The sequence below is a fragment of the Homo sapiens genome, chromosome 11, assembly GCF_000001405.40.
Source record: "Homo sapiens chromosome 11, GRCh38.p14 Primary Assembly".
Classification (NCBI taxonomy): domain Eukaryota; kingdom Metazoa; phylum Chordata; class Mammalia; order Primates; family Hominidae; genus Homo; species Homo sapiens.
The window spans coordinates 131945570-131966961 of NC_000011.10; the positions used below are offsets into that span (position 1 = coordinate 131945570).

At 43.4% G+C, this 21392-nt stretch overlaps 1 protein-coding gene across 41 annotated transcripts in view, besides 1 other annotated feature; it reads left to right on the forward strand.

The window, feature by feature from the left end:
* Positions 1–21392, forward strand: part of NTM (neurotrimin) — a 966208-nt gene that overhangs the window by 574955 nt on the left and 369861 nt on the right. The window contains exon 3 of one of the 41 annotated variants that reach the window (NM_001386967.1): positions 14200–14307. The exons of the other annotated variants lie outside the window; for them this stretch is intronic. Coding sequence (NP_001373896.1) covers positions 14200–14307 — 108 coding nt within the window. The remainder of the gene's footprint in view (positions 1–14199; positions 14308–21392) is intronic. 41 annotated transcript variants of the gene reach the window in all.
* Positions 9210–9711: an enhancer, noted in NCBI's record as "NANOG hESC enhancer chr11:131824673-131825174 (GRCh37/hg19 assembly coordinates)". NCBI's record gives its function as "activates a minimal SCP1, AML or CMV promoter by ChIP-STARR-seq in naive H9 embryonic stem cells {active_cell/tissue: H9 hESC(naive)}" and the evidence as "EXISTENCE:reporter gene assay evidence [ECO:0000049][PMID:30033119]".

The following is a 21392-nucleotide window of genomic DNA, read 5'->3' on the forward strand; positions in this document are numbered from 1 at the left end:
TTAACCAGGTTCAATATTTACCTAAAATTGCCAACATTTCAAAAATCATTTAAGAAAATAACCCAAATAACTCATCAGCCAGCCAGTATTTGTTAAGAAGAAAGGACAAATTGCATACTTGTTAATTTCCCTGTGGGGTAGTCTCAGAACTGTGCAGTGACCTCTCGCTGACATTCCTGCACCTTTACTGATATGCTCCCAAAGTCTCACTTAGAAGAGTGAATATAATTGCTCACTCTGATGGCTCCATTCAGGAATCTTCAGGAGACACAAGTATTAAAATGAATAGATGGCGTCTGGCAAATCTCTTCCTGCCAGCGATAAGCAATCTTGTCTATTAAATGTCTCCCAGTGCAGGCGGATAGTATATTCCATGCCTGGTCCGTAGCAGGGTGCAGGCTGATGGATTGAATGTATCTATACATTGTATACAGCTAATGAACTGGGGTTAGTTACATAAGAGGAAGATTGATAGAACCCAGAAGTTATAGCCAGATTCAGTCCAGAAGGAGAATGAGAAAGCGATCCCGGAAATCTGGGTAAAGGGGGAGATAAATCAGGTGGGTAGACGTTATAAACAGGCCTGGGAAGCTGGGTCATGCAGGCAGTGGGAGACTCGCGGGAGACTGGGAGATGGGGAGACGTGGGGGAATGGACTGCTGATGACTGCTTCCTGCCTTTCCTCCTTAGCACACTTGGGCTGGACAGACATATGTGCTTTTTAAACAAGAATCTTTCTGAAACCTGGAAGCATTAGTCTAAAAAGATGTCAGACACCTTCTGGTACCCTTATTTTAGAGAGGAGAATGCACCTAAGGCACATACATTGCCACAAGGTCAAATAGGCCATTTCCTGATCTTTGCCGCTCTCAAAATAAAAAGAAAATGTAAAACATATATGCAATTGTTAAGACAAAATAAAAAGGAGAGAAAGAGAAGGAACTGTGCCTGTTGCTAAAAGCTAGAGTTCAGTGTTTTAAGAAATAGAATGGAAAAGTTTCCTTGAAGAGAACTTTATCTTTCTTCTCCAGAGGAGTCCACAGGTTGTCATGGATTTTACATTCATCTCTAACCCTACACAATGCACACAATATGAATCTTCACAAATGAAATATGTTCCATATATTGATCTGTGATTTCTTTTCTCTACAGATAGTATATCAACAATATGCTCCCATGTCTGTATGTATAAATTAACCTTGTTTCTTTTACCTAGAAGAATAATACTCTATTTTGTAAGGTTCCATAACATATTTCACTAGTTCCTTATAAATTTATGTGCATATTATTTCTAATTCTTCTTCTCTGTCAAACAGGCTACCATGAGTATCTTCATGTATACAGGAAAGTGCCTCTGAAAGCAAATTCTTGGCTACAGAGTTACTAGGACTAATGGTATACAAATTAAAAGCTTATGAAATATTGAAAATTACCTAATATAAAGGTTATTGGAAGGTACAATGGAATGGAATGTACATGGATCTGTACAGACATTTCCAGAAAAGCTGGTGAGTAGTGGGGTGTTTCTAAAATGTGACATTTGCCACACTGGTAGTTAAAAAATGTCTAATTTATATATATTTAATTATGAAGTTTAGCATCTTTTCATATAGGTTCCATGCAGCTGGCCAGAAAAAGGCCCCCTTCCTTTGCATGATGGTGGTCTTGACTTGTTTACCATGATGCCTTCTTACATTGTGTTCTCCGTACCTGGTATTGAGGGACTGGGTTTATCTTCCCACCTGATGCTACTTATCCTCTGCATTATGTGTGAGATAACTTCTGGACCGCTTCAGGAACCCTCCCTGCCTGTGGAGTCATCTACTCTAATTGTCCGGGAGTTCTGCACCCCTGCCAGACCCTCCCCTCCCCGGGACTGTCTTCCTGTCTTTATGAAATCCCAGCACCTACAGAGAACCAGGCACATAGAAACACTCAGAAAGTGGTTGGTGTAAGAAGGAAGAAAGGAAGGCAGGGAGGTGGGTGCAGGGATGATACACGCTGGTATGAAACATTCACAGTGAATAGAACATCTGTAAGACACAGGGCCCTGGGGTCTGTCCATGGAATTCATTTTTTTCAATTTATTTAGTGCCTTAGCCCTCAGGGGCCTTGTTTCCTCACATGGAAGCCAGTCAGTTACGTATATGGGGGTGGCTAACATCCCAGTTAATAACAGTGATGTTGGCTTCAGTCAGATCTGAATGTGAGTGATGGTGTTCTCTCCTAGGGTTTTGTGATTAGTTTAATTTACTTAAGCCTGAATGTTTCCTCCTGAGATTAGTATGAGGTTTAGATGATACAATATATTGAAAGCACTTGATGCAGAGCCTAATGTAAGTAAGCACACAATAACCATTGGCTGCTATGAGTAGTACTTATTATTAGTAGTAGTAGTATGATTATTTTTATTATCAAATGGTAAGATGGTCCATGCAATGCTATCTTTGTCCATAAGGCCATTGGTGCCCATGATGAGCAAGTTATTGTAATAGAAATTAAGCTCAATTGGCCGGGTGCAGTGGCTCACGCCTGTAATCCCAGCACTTTGGGAGGCCGAGGTGGGCTGATCACGAGGTCAGGAGATCGATACTATCCTGGCTAACACAGTGAAACCCCGTCTCTACTAAAAATATAAAAAAAAAATTAGCCAGGCGTGGTGGTGGGTGCCTGTAGTCCCCGCTACTTGGGAGGCTGAGGCAGGAGAATGGTGTGAACCTGGGAGGCGGAGCTTGCAGTGAGCCGAGATCACGCCACTGCACTCCAGCCTGGGTGACACAGTGAGACTCCATCTCAAAAAAAACAAAAAAACAAAAAAACAAAAAAAAGAAGTGAAGCCCAATCATTATCACATCCAAAGGCTTATTTTGGGGGAACTGCCAACACTTAGCCCTTCTCATTTACTGAATCGGTGGTGCTCCTCTGGTGATAGAGGCTTGTTCACAGAGGGGAGAGTGTTCCTCAAAGCTGACCTGCTTTGCTTCTAGGAGGAGTGATTGCTTGTCCTAAAATCAGTGTGTCCGGTTCAGCCCTTTAGCCACAGGGCTTTTGTACTTGCTGTTCTCTCTGCCTGGAAAGGCCATCCTCATGGTATCTCAAGGGCTTCTTTTCTTACTTCTTTCAAGATGGCAACATAGCAGAGGCGTCCATGCTGGCAACTGATATAAAATGGCCCCACCGCCCCAGTGCTAGGCAATCTTTAGCACTCAATGCCCTGAGAAATGTCCATATATTTTTAGGTTTGTAAAACTTTATTTTATTGTGGTCAGATTACCTAACATGAGATCTGCCTTCTTAAAACATTTTAAAGTCTACAATACAGTACCGTTAATTCTAGGAACATTGTTGTGTAGCTGCTCTGTAGAGTGTATCTTGCATAATTGAGACTTTATGCCCATTTGACAGCAACTCCACGTTTCTCCCTCCCTCCAGCCTCCGGGAGACACCATTCTACGGTGACTCTACGTGTTTGAGTATTTGGGATACAGCGTGTAAGTGGAATCGTGCAGTGTTTTCCCTTCTGTGACTGACTTATTTCACCTAGTGTGATGTCCTCCAGGTTCATCCGTGTCGTCACATATGGCAGATTTCTTTCTCAGTTAAGACTGAATTGTGTGTATATTGCATACTGTTACATGCATTAGTGTATATTACTGCGTTTTCTTTAATCATTCATCTATTGATTGACATTTAGGTTGTTTACACATCTTGGCTATTGTGACTAGTGGTGCAATGAGCATGGGCGTGCTAATATGTTATGTACATTTATTGTTTACCTATTGATTTCCAATTGTTCCTCACTAAAACCTAAGCTCATAAAGGTGGAAGCTTTGTTTTGTTCACTGATCCTGTGTCTTCAGAATCTAGAACAGCACACTGACCTAGACTCTAATCCCAGTACCTGTTTCTTTGTTCTTATTTACTAGAATAAAAAGCAATCTCAGTTGAGTTTTAGGCGTTGCACAAAGAGAAACTTCCAGCATGATTGGAGACATCATTGTCTCTGGCACCCTTGGGGATTCGGGGTCTTGTGTTGGGTCCACCTTGAGTACTGGCCCTATACCTAGAACAGTGACCCACATTCCCAGGGTCTCCAAGGTCCATCCTCCTGAGTCACGAAAAATGTCCTGTATGGCCAAAGTCACTTGTAAGCCTGTTTTTATTTGAATGTCCCGGCCCACTCCAGCTAGTGCTGTCAGCTTTTCAGGTCCTTTTCAGAAGTCCTGGGAGGGTAGAAAGCTCTGTGCTGATGTTGGATGGACATTTCCTCTTCCTTCTAATGCCCCAAACTCCTATCCATTCATCCTATTGAGACTCTCCTAGCTACTCACACTTTTCTCTTCTGACACTTTGCACACTTACTAGTATTTACTATTTATAATTATTCTGTTATTGTTTTCCTTACCAAAATGAAGGATGCTTCTCTGTTTTGTTTCCTTCCCTATCTTGACTACCTTGGTGCTTGACCATATTCAGTGAATATTTCTTGAACATTATTGGTGGATTGACTTTGTTTCCTCTCCCCTTCCACACCACATCCCAGTAGTGGTACAATGGGAATCCCAGACTTTAAATCTGTCTTCAGTGCCACTTGCCTGGGTTGCCCTAGAGGCCTCCTGTTTTTCATTTTTCCTTTGCCCTGCAATGTATGGCAGGTGACCCAGAAGGGTCCCAGAAGGATGCTCCTGAAGTTTGGCCCACAACACCTTCCTGCTTTTCCACTGCACACAGGTCTTTGCAGACTAATAACACGTGGATTCCCTTGCCTGGTTTTCTGGGCATCCAGCATACTGGCTTCAACTTTTCTTTCCATCTTACCTCCACTATCTCTGTCCTCTTGCTTCTGCCAAGCCAGGCAGTTCACCTGCCTCACCTATACCCTGGCTTTTCTCTCGTACACTTTGTTCACTCAGTACTCTCTGTCTCGGAAGCCCACTCACTCCCCTTTCACCCTCATCCTTCCTTTGCACGTTTAGGTCCTACATAAGCTGAAAAAGAACAGAGTCTGGTCAAATCTTGACTCCGCTTGGCCAATGGATGGTACTTCTCTTAGCCTCCGTTTACTAAAATGTTAAGGGGGAGGAGATAATGGCACCTACCTTATCAGGATACTGTGAGAGTTACATTAGATACTGTATATAGACTGCCTGGCATACATGCTCCGTAACTATAGACTATTATTTCTCTTCAAAGCCCAACTCAAAAAATGAAATTCTTCTCTATGAACCCTTCTCTAATCCTCCCACGCATGGCCTCTCTTCTTCCTCCACTTCCTTCTGGTTCTCTTGGAGTTGCTGAGCACGTTGCCATGTCTTAGAACTCATCAGGAACCTGTTCTGTCTTCCCCTGTATCCAAGGTGGGAGGCAAGTTGAAGTCAGGAATTATTCTTGTGTTCTGCACAGTGCCCTGGACATTGCTGTTGTTTGGTAATTGTTTTTTTTTAATGGACTGAATCATTTTGCTGCTGCCCAGGCTGCTTTCTACTACAATAGCCTGTAGCCTTAAGCAAGGATGAGCTATTTTCCCTTTAGTAATGGGCCAGCATCTAGGCCTTGATTTTGAGTTCTTAGTATGGTACCGTGAAAATCACTAGTGTTGAAAGGAATAGGATCAGAGGGGGAATAAAAAGGCATTTGATGAGGCTCTTAGTGTAACAGTATGTCTCACTCATCTTTTTTTTTCCTTAGCCTTTGAAATAGACAATGGCCTTGAGCCTTCTCGGCAGATGGACCATGTTTGTGCCTTAGCCACTTAACAGCCATTAGCCTAATTCCATCCTCTACAGCCAAATTAAATAATAAGTAAAGGCCTATGAAAAGCTGGTTTGGAGGCAGTGTTACTGCCTTTCACTTGACAGCCTTCTCTGAAGCAGATGCTCCCTCTCCACCCTATTAACCTGCTCCTCTGAATAAGGAGCTGTCCACACAGAAGCAAAGATAGAGGCCTGCAGGAGAGTGGTCTGGATTCTGGAGATAGGGGGAAAATCCTGATGATGAAAGTCCAGCTTCTTTGGAAGGCTGAGGCGGGAGGATCATGAGGTCAGGAGTTCAAGACCAGCCTGACCAATATGGTGAAACCCCGTTTCTACTAAAAATACAAAAATTAGCCAGGTGTGGTGGTGTGTGCCTGTATTCCCAGCTACTCAGGAGGCTGAGGCAGGAGAAATGCTTGAAACTGGGAGGCACAGGTTGCAGTGAGCTGAGATTGTGCCACTGTACTCCAGCCTGGGTGACAGAGCAAGACTCCGTCTCAAAAAAAAAAAAAAAAAAAAAAGCCCAACGTCCATCCACTACTCCCACCTCATAGGCCACAGAAGATGAGAGCTTTAACCCAAAGTCATGATAATGCGATTTCTGCTTTGATTGGTCAAAGCTGCTATTTGTTAGTAGATAGTATATGACCTATAAAAGTTCACAACAAGAAAGTAATACCCTGGTCTTACTCCTAACAAGTCTGATAATACATTCTCTTTTATCACACTTTTTTTTCCTCTGTGTCCTTGCTTATAGACTCCTCCTCCTGAAATACTTCCTTCTATTCCGAAATCCTGGATACCCCTCAAGGACAGCCTAAATGTCCCTATCCTCATAAAACACATCTCCGATTCTCAATCTCATTCTCTGACTCAAGTACCTCCTCCTCCTCTGAGCACCCTTCACCCTTAATCTGAACATAATTTCTAACTGTATTACTATTTTCAAACTTGAATTATAGATGTATGCATATGACCCTTACTACCAGGATCTATGTTCCTTCAGGGCAGGAACTCTATAGTCATCTAAATACTTCCTACAAGTTTAAACTTATTTGTATTGTGTTTGTGTGTGCACACATATATGTACATGCACGTATGTATATATTTATATACATACACATATACTCAGTAAACATTTTTTGCATCAATGCATACATACTTATGGGCATTTTAATTTTTTATTTACACACTCTCTCTCTCAGCTATCCCTTAGTGGCCTCAGATTTTTTCTGCATGTAGTCAAATAGGTCTCTGTGCTTGTGAAAATGTTTCTATCAACTGTGGATACGCATAACCTGATTGTTAAGGTGTTACTTTGAGAGATCTAGACAGTGTGACTGCATTTTTTTCAACTTAAAGACTGGCAGAAATCTAAAGCATTCAACTCAATTAATTTTCTCTAAAAAAGAAGAAATTTATTACTCCAACACAAAGATACCTATTACAATGGTTATGCTTTATAAATAAGCAAACATGGATGTCAGGTTGGGATAGCTCTGACTGGTGACCAATGCATTATCTCTATTTCTCTCTTCTTGCCCTTGCTATCTATCATGATAGGCCTTGATGCCCCAGAGAACAGAAAGGAAAGGCACCTTAGAGACATTTTGCTGTTGTTATTCTGATCTTGTGGTGGCATATAGACTTAAAGTCTCTGATATAAGAAATACACACTAACTTGTTTGTTTGGTGCCAGTTTTAAGAATTTTGAAAATTCAGAAGGTAGCCATTCATCATGACTCTTAGGTAGAAAGCGCCGTGTTCAAGTTCCTCCAGCTGCTAGCAAGGACAAGCATGGGGTAGGTAAGGCAGACCCTGGTTGGCTTTCAGGCATCAGGGAAAGACCGGACCATCTGTTGCCATGGCAACATTCATTGGTTTTACAATAAACATGAACAATGAGGTGCTAAGCCTTCTAAAAATAGAGGCACGCTCTATTTTTTTCCATATTTTTATAAGATAGTTTCACGATATATCTTAGGACTAAAATTGAGATCTATCCTCCTGGTTACAAGGGGCGAGTGTAGTATCCATAGCTTTTTGAATGGCAGACTCCAAGTTTGTGTGACTTGAGTATGCGTGTGTGTCTATGTGTATACACACAGTTAATATTGAGAACAGACCCTTGAAGACCACTATACCTACCTATGGAGCATGACATAAAGTGAAATGTAGCATTAAAATTATATTAAAATATTTGGGAAAAAATAGACAATTTTACCACCTGATCCAAAGGAGGGAGCTTTTTCTAGGCAAGTAATTTCACTGAAGTGATGGCTTTCTGTGTCAGTTTTCTTTGCTATTACTGGCCTGGGCAACATTAAATCTGGCTGAGGCTCAGCACTGGACAAAATACAAAATGATCACAGGCACTCAGGCTTCTGTAGAGCATCAATTCACTTTCTAATGAAAAAGAAGGAGTAAAGAGAGTGAGGGAAAAAAGAAATTGTTGGCAAGCTAAAAAGAGTTTAAGAAATGAAGAGGAGAAAAGGTAAAGTGATCAGAGGTGAGAAAAATGAGGAGAAGAGAGATAAATGGTTTGCCATGAGGAGAATGTAGACCTTTAACGTGAATCTGATGAACCAAGCCACTCCGTGGAGATGGAGAAAGCCAGCCTTTCTTTCCCTCCTTAGCCACTATTTCTGGTAATATCAAGTCCATCTGTAAGGCAGGCAAGGTGAATTTATTGTATTTAATAGCTTCCAATTTAACAAGTCGAATCGGAGGGATCCCCAAACTCTACTCCCCATGGCTATATGCTCACAGTGCTGTGATTTATGGTAAGCCCTCCTTTTTCCTAAAACAACCACCTGAGAGGATGTCTCCTGGCACGCGATGTCCTCTGAAAACCAGAGGCCAGTGGTTTTGGGAGCCAGACACAGGCATTGTAAGTAGCACAGGACGCTTCACTCAGCAGACAGGGCAGGAGGCCTCGGTAGATGTGCAGAAGTCGGGGAGAGGCAGGGCTAGCCTGCTGCTCTGACCAGACCTAGTGAGGCAGGAGGGTGACTGTCGCTGCTTGGTGTCCTTCCCATCACAGCAGTGAGGCTGCAGGCCAAGCCTTCACCTGGACACGATCAGGGACTCTGGCTCTCTGAAGGGAGGTGGTGATCTCTTTTCTAATGCACTTCACTGGGTCCACATTAGGCCGACAAGTCAGGTTCCTCAGGGCTCCCGATGATACAGCAGGAGGATGTACATTCATCCCTGTCCATCAGCGCCTCCCAGGGAACCTGCGTGTCTGATTGAAGTAATTTCACCCATAGTGCACAAAGTGTACACTCAATCAAATTTTATAGAATACTTTTTTTTTAACGAAAACATTATGTTTGTTGTGCAAAGTTTTAGGGAGCAGTGATAAGCAAAAGCAAAACAGAACAATTAAAACCACCTGTAATTCCCCATCCACATTCGTCATTGTTAACACAGTAGTGTATATGCTTCTGTCGGTATTTTCTACAGTTATGTAGTTATATTTTTCATTTAAAAAAATGAATTCAATCTTTTGTTACCTACTCATATAACTTATGTATATACACATCTTTCTGTTTCATTAAATATTTTATGTTATATTTTATTGCTACACAATATTCTATTTTCTAAATGGACCATCATTTAAGTAGTAATGCTCAGTGGTGAGAGAGTTAGATTGTTTCCAGTGGTTTTGCTGTTGTAAATACTGTTCAGATGAACATCCTCATTGTCTTTATTCACAAGCATGATTACCTCCTTAGGATATATTCTTCCAGTGGTATTGTGGCAGAGAATATGCAAACAGCAGGGTTTTTGACACCTGCTGTCAAATTGCCCTTCAGGAAGGTACCCTGAGCACCTCCACCCTCAGCCTCAGCCTCAGCCCGCTTGGTTCTTCCTGCTGTCACCCCTCACCAATGCTACCTATTATCATTTTGTTTAGGTTTGCTGCTTGATAGGTGGAAATGCCATGCCTTTGTTTTAAACTGCGTTGCCTGGAATAGTAATGAGTTTGAAATTTTCCCCAGATGTTGAAGGGCTACTTGATCTTTTGTCCCTATTACCTAGACACATGGATCCTAGCTGGGCTCTGGGAAGTGGCACTATGGCAACTGCTAGGCCTTCCCTCTCCTTGGAGAGGAATTAGCGAGAAAATGATGCCTCTTCAAGTGTGTTTTTAAAAGAGTTTAAAATGTAAAGGGGAAAATGTAGATGGCCAGAGAGATAAATTATAAATGGAGGATAATTATCGTAGTTTTTAGGAAAGGTAAAACATCAAAAGATACATAAATGACAAAAGAACTAAATATCTTAGGAAGCCGACTTTCCTAAGGTAAGAATCGTGTGCTGAGTATGTGGCACCAAGACCTGGAAGGACCCATGTCCCTCCCACCCTCCCAGTGCCCCGACCTCCCACCTCTGGTGCTGTGCTGTGACTCCACAGGGAGATTTTGTGCCAGTGCCCCCACCAGGGACTCATCACCACTCTAGCCCAATGACTCCAAAATTGCCTTCTCCTAAATATAATGTCCGCGCTTTGACTTTTAAAAATAGCAGCAGAAAATGACCAGGGGGCACTCTGTGATGTCCAAGATTCCTGGGGCAAAGCAGCCCCTGGAGCCTGTTCTTAAGATAGCTCCATCCTTGTCTTGCTGAATTATTTACAGAACTTGTGAGGGCAGAGGCTGAGTAGAGGTACTTCCTTTCTGAACATGCTCAGGCACTCCCTGGGCCAGGCAGGGAAGCCAGTGTCTGGAGGATGTCTGCTACCCGGTGTCAGGGAGTCTGCCATTGATTTTCTTTAGGACAAACCTCTCTGCAAATGCCACAGATTTACATTAGCCGCACTATAGAGACCCAGTCAGGGCCAGGCGCAGAGACGTGGGGAATGCCACGTGCTGATTTCTTTTCTGCTCTGGGCAGTTGCTTCTTTTCACTTCCACGTCTGAATGGCAGGGAGAAGCTGGGTGCCCCCACATGTGAGTCAGAATGTGACCTCTAGCATTTGAAAGTCCTAGTTATTAAATATATGATCTGAGTTGTCCACATTAAAAAGGCATTTGGGAGTGCGGGGATATGGAGAAAGATGATGAGCTTGATGTTTGGATTGATTTATTCTCAGTAGAGGTGATTTCAGCAGGCTTTCCCAGGCAAGTTAGGATACTTTAGCATTACTCTGGGTATCTGGCCAGAGTTTTCAGGGGTGTTAAATAGTGAGGCTCTTAAGAATGCAGGAAGCTTGGGTCATCTCCTGCGTTCCTAGGGTACTGCCGAGACTGGGTTCCTTTCATCGGTGTCTCGGGGGGTTGGGGGTGGGGGAGCTGAGCCACAGTGGAGCGGAACTGTCTGCATGGACCCTTCCCTTTCTTCCAGCTCCGGTGTTTGCCCACAATTCCACTCACTTAAAATTTGCCTTTGTCTTCTAGCCAGGTAGCTTGCCAGGGGAAACTGGGTGTGAGTCAATGGCCTTCCTCTTCACTCTATGGTCAGCCTCTGTTTTTGTGGGACAGCATCAGCCTGAAGCCAGGCAAAAGGCCCAAGTCATGTAGTAAAAAGTGTGCAGGGCTCAGGACTGGAAGCAAAACTCTCCACCAACCAGCTTGGTGCTATTAATCAGATACTGTAACTGCCTGGAAAGATGAGCAAACAAGCTGTATTCCTCAGGCTCCTATTTTGTGCTGTCTACATTGTGTCCTCTGTGCTACCTCATTTAATCCTGTTAATCATGGTTTAGATGGGGGAATATCATCTCTAATATGCATATTTAGTAACTGAGGTTTATAGACCTCCAAGGTCATGTAAACTACGAGGTGGCCATGCTAGAATTTAAACAGCAGTTTTTATTTTTGTGAAAGTCTTGTTTTCTTTCCAAGATATTACAGCTGTCTTACTTCACAAAATTGTCCTGAGGACCAGATAATTGTAACATATATGAGAGGTAAAAGAAAAAAGTCTAACCAATGTTTGGTAGTGTGATTATTGCTTTTATATTCTAGTTAATTTTTCTGTGATGAAAAAGCAAGTTTCCAAAGGCCCTGGCTTTGAAGGGAAGTAATGCAACTTGGCCCAGTCTCTGGGTTTATCCCAGAAAGCCAGTTCCCCTCCAACTCCCTCCTGCAGGTGCAGTTTTCAGCTGGGCCCTCAGACACAGTCCACTTTGCATCCCACTTCTTGGGAAAATTTTTCTTAATGTTCACTAGCGCTAAGATCATTCTGAAACCTCTCCCTGCACCACTGCAAGACTAGTGCATTCTTAAACCCTGCAGCCCAACCGTTACCTGTGATTTATTTTATTGTCATTTATTCCCACAGACAATACACATAAAAATAAAGGTAGTAAGTGTAAGAGCATTTTAATTGCCATCCCACTAGTCTTAAATGTCCACTGTTTTTATATCTCCCCCTCCTACCCTAGAAAATTTCAGAATAGAGAAGATCAATTTATCATCTTATCCTCGTTTCCTGATCTCAAATTGGAAGATGGACAGTTTTTATGTTAATAGAGAGTCGTTTAGAGTCAGGGAATTTTTCGAAGGAAAGTCGAGATAGATGGATGAATAGGTGGTTGTGTGTGTGTGTGTATTATATATATTAATATTAATAGAGAGGCTTCCTTTGTGGCCTCATGCAGAATGCTTAAAGATCCTAGAAATGTTGCTGTAGGAATGGAAGCAGAAGAAGCCGCAGGCTTCATGGTTGATTGCTTTTCTGATTGGTGCCATAAAAAAAATGCATTAGCGAGAGAATGTTTGATTTAAAGAGCGCCTAGATGCCGACACCACCTCTGTTTGTTTTCCTTCCTTTAGCAGAAACCTTGTAAAATTTTTATGAAGTATTAATGGATCTGAGATTTTCTCCAGCAAATTTTATGAGGTGAGCTTAATCCCACACATCCGACCCAATTTAGCAGTCTTTAGAGACATAGAACGTAAAAGGCACTCAGAAAGTATCCTGGGTGCCTCAGTACCAGGGGAGTGATGGGGCAGGGGTAGGGTATTTCCTCCCTCTCAGTGCTTTGGTAGACTCTCAGGGGTTGTGGGAGAACAGAGTGAAGAGGTACCCCACCCACAGAGAAGACCGCACAGGTAAGCCAAAACTTCAGATAGTAAATCTTAATTCATAACTTAGCACTGACTTCAAGAACTTCCCTATATAACTGTAGTCTTTGATGAGAAAATCGTGTTTAGGGAAAACAAGAAATTATTTGTATTAACAGTTTCTGTGCTGTCAACCTGGAATCACTGGCTTTAATCTAAGAAAGAGACATGAACACCGTCCTTCCTCCACCCCAATTTGTTTTCTGTATTTGAAACAAAAGAGCCTTGAAGAAGATAAGTTACATTTTTGTGTATGTTGATGAGTGCAGCTACGTTTTGTAATGTGAAGTTTGGCCTCCCACAAACCAAGCAACTTGATGAGCCTCAGCACACTAGTGAGCATTTAGCAGTTCCCATCACTTACCTGTTTATGCTGATTCTGTACTACTCTCGCGAGTTCTTGCCCTGTAATGTGTGAATTCCATTAGATTTATGGTGACGAAATGAAGGAAGAGAAGTTTTTTGGAAGAGAAATAGGAGCCTTCGCCAACTAAGAAATCACTGTGGCCTATTCAAGAATGGTCAAGGGTTTGGGATTTTACCCTACTTTCAGGCAAACAAGTCCACATGCCACTGTTTCAGGGGTGCTGGCGGAAGAAACGAGACTCCAGGGTCAGAGATAAAAGACTTTGTTACTCGTGGCACAGCAGGCAGCATGAGCTCCATGTTCGTGTCAGTGCTTTTTGTTCCCCAGGTCTCAAGAGGGTGATGTGTATGGCCCAAGTGGATGTTCTGTGCTGAGGTGGTTTGCACCACAACCAAGTAACCCCTCATTTAGCAAACTCAAATCTTTTGTAATGGGCTGCCCGCAGATTTGCCCAATCTTTTCTCAGAAGAGAGGTGTTCTCTTTATTTTACTGGACATAAAAATCTGCCTTGTGCCATGGAGGGAGACACCATTTCTGTCTTAAAGTTCTTCGCTGTATTAACATCCTTGAAAAGATAGTCATGGCCAGGCATAGTTGCTCACACCTGTAATTCCAGCATTTTGGGAGGCCGAGGTGGGAGGATCACTTGAGCCTAGGGGCTTGAGACCAGCCTGGGCAACATAGAGAAACCCCATCTTTACAAAATAAAATAATTAAAAAAAATTAGCCAGGTGTAGTGGTGCATGCCTGTGGTCCCAGCTACTAGGGAGGTTGTGGTGGGAGGATCACTTGATCCCAGGAGTTCTGGGCTGCAGTGAGTTGTGGTCACACCACTGCACTCCAGCCTGAGTGACAGAGTGTCTAAAACAATACTTTACCTTGTTTTCCTGCGGGTGAATATTCTCATGAGTAAACCACCTCATCAACCACTCTGACTGATCAAGGTTGGTAGCAAATCCATTCAATTTGTCTAATACAGCATTTAATTAAAGCTACTATCAACAGGGTTTTGTGCAGCAGGATGAAGCTGTTCTACAGTATTGACCTCAACATTGTTCCCCAAGATCCCAGACCTAACCAGATGAAGAAATGCCACAGACAATCATGGTCCAGGTGAGAAACAAAAGGGAAAGTTTTCCTTACGTTTCTATATTAACTTTCTCACTTGTCTGAGGCATGAATGCAGGTACAACAGCATGTACTAGAGATTGCACAGACCTGAGTAGGCTTGCAAAGAGGCAGTGGAGGGTAGTTGTGTTATCCATAACAATCCTGGCCAGTGCATTGAAGCTGATTTGAATTCCTTCCAGGGCAAGGGTGTTATCTCCTTAAATACTTGAGGTTCTCTGTGAGCACCTCTGAGCGTAAAAGTCACAGGGTGTTCAGAAGGGGCAAGTTAAGGCCTACTTCCACACAAGAAGTACAAGCTCGAGGGTGTTCATGGTGCCCCTGGATGGAAAGTCTTGTTTACAGTTGTTGGGACCCTCCCAGGTAAGACCTCCGTCCATCCAGAATCACAACTTGACATTGCCTCCAGTGTCATCTCCTACATGATCGTTAGGACTTAGGGGCTTCAGTTCTGCTAGAATAATTGAGTCTAACCCCTGTTTTTGAGGGACTTCCTGCCCTGTATATCCATGTCACCGGCTGGATGCCATTCATCTGGCCTGTGGAACCATGGAGCAGTCAGTGACTCTAGGAAGGGAATCGGGGAGACAATGGCAGATGTTGACATATGTTTTGTGATGATGTTCCAGGAGCTGGCCCCATCCCCTAATGTTCATATAAACTGCTCAGTTAGGTTAAGGGGAATCGTGATCAAATTGTGTTGAGAGCTGTCAGGAGGGGATGCTGGACCCAAGAGTCAGTTAAATGAAGGTATTTGCAGCAGATTGGGAGAACTGTATCAGGTCATTTTCCTCATGAAGAGGATTTATGGAGTGGTTCTATGACAAAAGATCCATCCTGTTCCCTTCCAGGGTCTACAGCGTTCCTCTCCAAGTGCCTGAGGTTTTGGTCCGTACTCTGCAAAATTGGTCTGTTACATCCAGTAGCTCTAACTTCACCTTTTCCAATTATTTTCTGCTGATACCTGGAACTTTCATCCTGAAGATTCAGGTGCAGGAGGGTCAATATTGCTTTTTGAAATTCACAGAGATGCGTCATGCCTCCTACTTTGGCCTGTTTGAGCACCGTGAGGGGATTTGGACAACAGCGTCTTCAACCTACTGGCCATCACCTTTTTCATCCAGGAGCATGTCAATCCAACAAGAGAATTCAGGCAGCCTAACCAGATTTAAGCATGAGTCCCCTAGATCCTTTTGTAGCCAGGTTGCTACCCAAAGGGTGGGCCAACTATGCTGGCCTGGGGTTGCTGTCAAGGGAAGAAAATAACTCATGTTCCCAGGAATGGTCAAGCAGAAATCCTGAATTTGAAAAAACCTTCATTGTTCCCTCCATTTATTTTGTCCTGTTGATTATGCAGGAAATGGCAGGAAAGAGATGATCCCTTTCTTGGATCAGCCACTTTCGGGGGCCAAAGCACCCTATTAAGGTGTGTGGAGTGGGAGGACATGAGGGAAAAAGAGACAGAAATCTTTCTGATTCAATTTTTCAGAGGCTATTCCAAAGCTTGGTGATACCAGATGCCTGTGGATGATGGGGAGAATTAAAGCCCGTCAAGTAATCCTTGACTATCAAATCCATTATTTAATCATTTTTGTGATGAAAGGTGCAGCATTGCTAGACTGAAGATACTCTGGAAAGCCTAGCACATGACACAGGTTGGTCTGATGAAAGGTGAAGCATTGCTAGACTGAAGATACTCTGGAAGGCCTAGCACATGACACAAGTTGGTCTCAAAGGCCACACTAGCATGGGGAGCAGAATCAGATTACACTGGAGCAGCAGCACTGTATCCTGCAAGAGTGGCCGGCAGTGAGGCAGCATCAATAGCCCTGAGAGGGGGTCAAAAGTCAGACTGAGTGAGTGAGTCTTCCAGAACTGGGCAGGGGTAATTCCCCATGCCATGCAACCTTTCCCACTGAGACAGAGATCACCTTTTGTCAGGAGTCACCAAGTGTGAAATGCAGTGGTAGTCCCTGCATTCGAAACATAGAGTCTTTTACTGTGTGCCTAGTCTAGGAAGGCGGACATGTTGCCACATCTAGGATGATGATGGATCCATGCACCAATGGTGTCCATGTTTCACCAAGGCTCCATCAGCAACTTGATTTTGCCTGGTCTCATGAGGGAACAGGCGTTTGTTGTGTCATCTCTGTGAGTGGCCTAGGTGGTTTGTGGGTGCCTACACCCATCAGATTCCCTTCATTCTGAGCCCCTTCCCTCCTTATGGCTCCTTAGCATACTTTCCTGGGTGCATATGTCCTGCAATACCTCTTGAGGGAGCACCAAGAAATACCAGCCCCTCTCATAATCATCTTTCTCTTTAAAGCAGTTGAGGTCAGAGTAGAGGGGGTAGGAAGGATCAAGGGGTGTGAAGGTCGAGAGCAGTTTCATGCCAATAAGCAAGGCACAACCAAACACATTTCTAATGTTATGGACTGCACAATTGTGTCCTTCCAAAATTCACCTGTTGAAACCCTAACCCTCAATGGGATAGTTTTGGGAGATGGGGACTTTGAAGGTGATTGGATCATGAGGTTGGAGCCCTCATAATGGAATTAGTGCCTTTATACGAAGAGACACAAGAGAGCTCCCTCTCTGCTGTCCTCCCTGTGAGAACACAACAAGAAGGCAGCCATCAGGAAACCAGGAGGCGGGCCCTTGCCCTCCAGATCTGCTGGCATCTGGATCTTGGACTTCCCAGCCTCAAAAACCCTGAGGAACAAATGTTTGAACCACTCTGTCTATGGTAATTTGTTACAGATGATCTAACTGGCCAAGACACTAATGTTTGCAATCCACACAAAGTTCCGTGTCCTCATTGCTTATGCCATTTACCCTGACTGTGGACCCTTGGGCTCAGCAGCTGCAGCCTTCTTGTCAGCTGGGGCTCAGGTTGCCACCCCATTTTCATGAAAACATCCCTCCCTCCTTCCACCCCAAGTAGTGTGAGCAATGACCACACTGTCCTTCAGCAGCTCGTTTTATTCCTACTTCTCACTGCAACCTCCAAACGTTCATTAATAGGTCGGATAGTGAAGATCCTTACTCACTGCATCCCCCACCCATCAGTGTGAAATAGCGTTTGCTACAGGGTGTCAAGGAGTCATTTCATATCCCTGACACAGCCTGGGACGCCCACTTCCTTACTTTTCCAGAAAGCTACATCTTTGTCAGCATCCCATTCTCATCACTGAAATCTGTCAGGAACTGTGATGGATCTGAGATTTTACCCAACAAAAGACACGAGACTCCTGGGTCCTAGGCAAAAGACTTTATTACTGTGGCACAGCCAGTGGTATGAGCTTCAAGTTCACACCAGCTCGCCATGCTCCCCAAGCACCCCAAATCCACAGGTGTGACCCAGAGCAGCGCAAATGGAGGCTAGACACTTGGGTTGTGTTTGCATGACAGCTGGATAACTCTGAGTTTGGGGAACCTGGATCTTTTATAATGGACTGCAAGTAAACCTGCTCAACTTTTGCCTGGGAGGGAAATATTATTTTTGTTATACTGGGTGTTAAAGAAAACATGTCCTCTGCTCAGAAGGGAGATATTATCTCTGTCTTTCAGGTTGTTCAGTCTACAAATATCCATGAAAAGATAGGTCCTCTTCTTGCAATATGTGCAGAAATGCAAGACACCCATGGAGAATATCTCCTGTGACCTTGCTAAAAGGATTCTAGCCAGAGGCACTGAGCAGGTTATTGTTGGAGCTCTACTCCTATGTTGAGAGCATCCCTTGATTCAGCCATTATGTAGGATAACATGCCAGGCTCTGGAATAGGCACAGGGTAGTGAATAAATAACACAGTAATTGTTTCTGCCCTGACAGAGCTTATACAGACAAAATAATAATGATGACAGCTACACTTATATAGTGCTCACTATGCACTAGGCCTTTTCTGAGTAATTTATATGTACCTACTTATTTAATCATCAGAATGACACTTTGAGGTAGATACTGTGGCTATCATTCTCATATTTATGGATCAGAAAACAGAGAGAGAGTGTTAGAGTCAGAATCCAAGCCCAGGTAGTTTCTGAATGTATGCTTCTAATCTGTCTTAGTATAACTAAGTACGCTAGTTATACTTAGTATAAGTCTGTCTTACATGGCTTCTAGTGGAATTACCACACAGGATTATAAATTCAGTGATTTTATAATAAAAGATGAACTGGGGACATCTAGGAGGAGTTTCTAAGCCAGACCAAAGGGCTGCCCAGAAGAAGAGATATCTAAGAACAGTCCAGAAGGGTGAGTGGACATTAACCAAGGGAGCTGGAGAAGACAGTTCTCAGCAGGGAAACCGCGTGTGCAGAGGCCCAGGGGTTGGTTGGGGGCTTCCTGAGATGACAGTAACATCTACTTAGATGGGTCATTTGTTGTAAGGCACACATTTATTTGGAATGAGTCAGCTGGTGAAATTTCCCCCAGACTTCTAATTCACAGCTCTTTGTTTTCCGTGTATTTTTAACTAAAATATGCAACACTTCTACTGTTGAGATATCACAGCAGCCTCTAAAGTGTCAGCAAAATAAGCCAGGGCATAGCCAAAGTGACAAGTGAAACCCAGCATTATTTGAATTTATTTTGATTTTTGTAGAATTCAAGTGTCTAATTATTAATATTAAGCAAGTAGAGAAATTAAGGCAAGATACACATGGGATTATGGGACACAAGAAAAAAATAAATATTCAAAGCTTCAAAGACTTTTTGGATATGAATAGCTTCTTTGATGGTCTCTCTTCATTATGGAATCCTGTTAGGCATCATTGTCCCTGTGATCAATGGCTAGATCTGGCCATCATCGTCAGCCTCCCAGTAGCCTGGGTGAGGCTCCCTGGGTTGTGAGTGAAGACTGGTTATCCTGGTCTTTCCCATGCTCATTCCACATTTTAATGCAGTATCACCAGCTTGAGAGTGCCATGTGATCTGACAGCTTTGAATAATTGATGCCCCTCATACTAAAGGAGAGTTTAGGTTTTGTGGTTCAGCAGGATGCTTTACTCTTGTTGACCTTAACCTTCAGAGGCACTCGGGCATTACCAAGAGATCAATAAAACTTACCCTGGCTGGTCTGTGAGGACAGGAGCCTGACAGAGAGTGATGATCAAGAGGAGAGGATGGGAGGATTACGCTGGAACCTGGGGAAGAAAAGGGAGGATGTGTGGGGTAGAGTGGGGAAAGGGGTGGAAATAGAATAGGGGAGCATCGCAGAATGAGGGAGACAGGAGCTCCGAAAACGATGAAGTGCATGACAAAGCAATGGAAAACAAGGGTTGAACAGAGGAGAAAGAGTATCAGGAGGAACATATACAGAAGCCAAGAGGATGAATGAGGGACGCACAGGCCAGGAAAGGAGCTCTGATCTGTAACCCTCCTCCAGTCTGTGGTTGCAAAGCTGTACAGTGGAGGGAGGTCACCAGGGACTCAACGTCTCCTGGAAAGCAGACAAGGAAATAACTTATAGAGTGAGGCAGAATAAAATAAGGGTTGTAAGAAAGGAATGCAGTCACTGCTGGGCATTGGAGGCACATAAAAGGGACTTTAATGCTTGAATGCCAACTACATGCTAAAAGGGCATCGGCACATTATTTTAATTAATTATTATTAATTGTATTATTAAATATTGTAATTATTACATAATATTTAGACTAATTGTCAAATGAAAGTCTCAGGTAGGAATTATTGTCCTCATGCTAATGATGAAGAATAGAAGCTTAACGAGGTTGAGTGCTTTGAGTAAGCTCGCTGATCAGTGGTGGAGCTGGAGGAGGCTTGTGACTCTGAAGCATCTTTCAACTCTTGTCACTGTCTCAGGCTGCCGCCCAGAAAGGCAAACATTGGAGTGATTTATTCTTACAAAGGCACTGGAGAAAACTTCAGTGGACTATCAGCTAATTGAAGGTGAGGACTGTGTCTGAGTTTTCAAATCTGCCATGGCTAGCATAGTAAACACTGCATAAGAATACTAAATAGTACATGGAAAAAGGAAGGGTTGGAGCTTGGGTAGGTAGGTAGAGAGCAAAGGAGGGAGGGAGGGAAGGGGGAAGGAAAGGAGGGAGGGAGGGAGGGAAGGGGGAAGGAAAGGAAACATGAGAGGGAAGGGAGGAATGGTATTTGTGCTGAATCCAGAAAAACAAATTGCATTTTTCTGGGGGTGATGGTAGGATGAAGAACACTCGAGGGTGAGTTAATAGCATAATCAATATAGAGTTTGCATTTGTGTGATAAAAAAATGACAAAAATTCACTCTAGCCAGAGTCTAGTTGGAAGAAAATAGTGGGAGATGAGTTTGCTGAAACAGAATGGATCCTGATTCATTCATTCATTCAACAAATATTTACCGAGGCAGAATAAACTAAGAGTTGCAGTAAAGGCACAGCTATGAATAGGCACTGCTAAAGGAGCCTAGGATACATCAGTGAACAAAACCAACAAATACACTTTCCCTCACAGAGCTTACATTCTAGTGAAAAGAGACAGACAATAAACATAATACATGAATAAAGTCTACAGTATGCAAAAGGTGACACATGCTATTGGGTAGGGGAAAAAAGCAGAATAGTTGAACAAGAGATACAGGGACAAGTCCAAATAGTATATTTAGGTTAACCATTATGGAGGCGATGTTTAGCAATATCTTGAAAGAGGTGAAGGAATGATTAACGCATTTTCCTAGGAAATAAATTCCAGGCAGAAGGGACAGGCTATGTAAAAACCTGAAGACAGAAGTGGACCTGGAGTGTCCATGGGCAGGGGTGGCTGGGATGCAGAGTGTGGTGTCAGGTAAGTAGTTGGAGAGGTGACAGCAGTCTCGATCAGGTCAGGTCTCAGGGACCCTCTCACCATGACAGAAACAGGACCCAGTGGATGGCTTTGAGCAGGGTAGGGGTAGAATGGAATGTGTTCTAAAATGGGACGCTGGCCTCTGTGTGAGGACAGACATGGTGGCAAGTGGTCAGATAGGAAGCTGCTGCTGTTGTCACTCACAGATGGTGGTGAGGAAGGTGCCCAGGGTCAGATTGTGAATACCTTTAGAAGGAAGAGCCAGTAAGACTTGCTGATG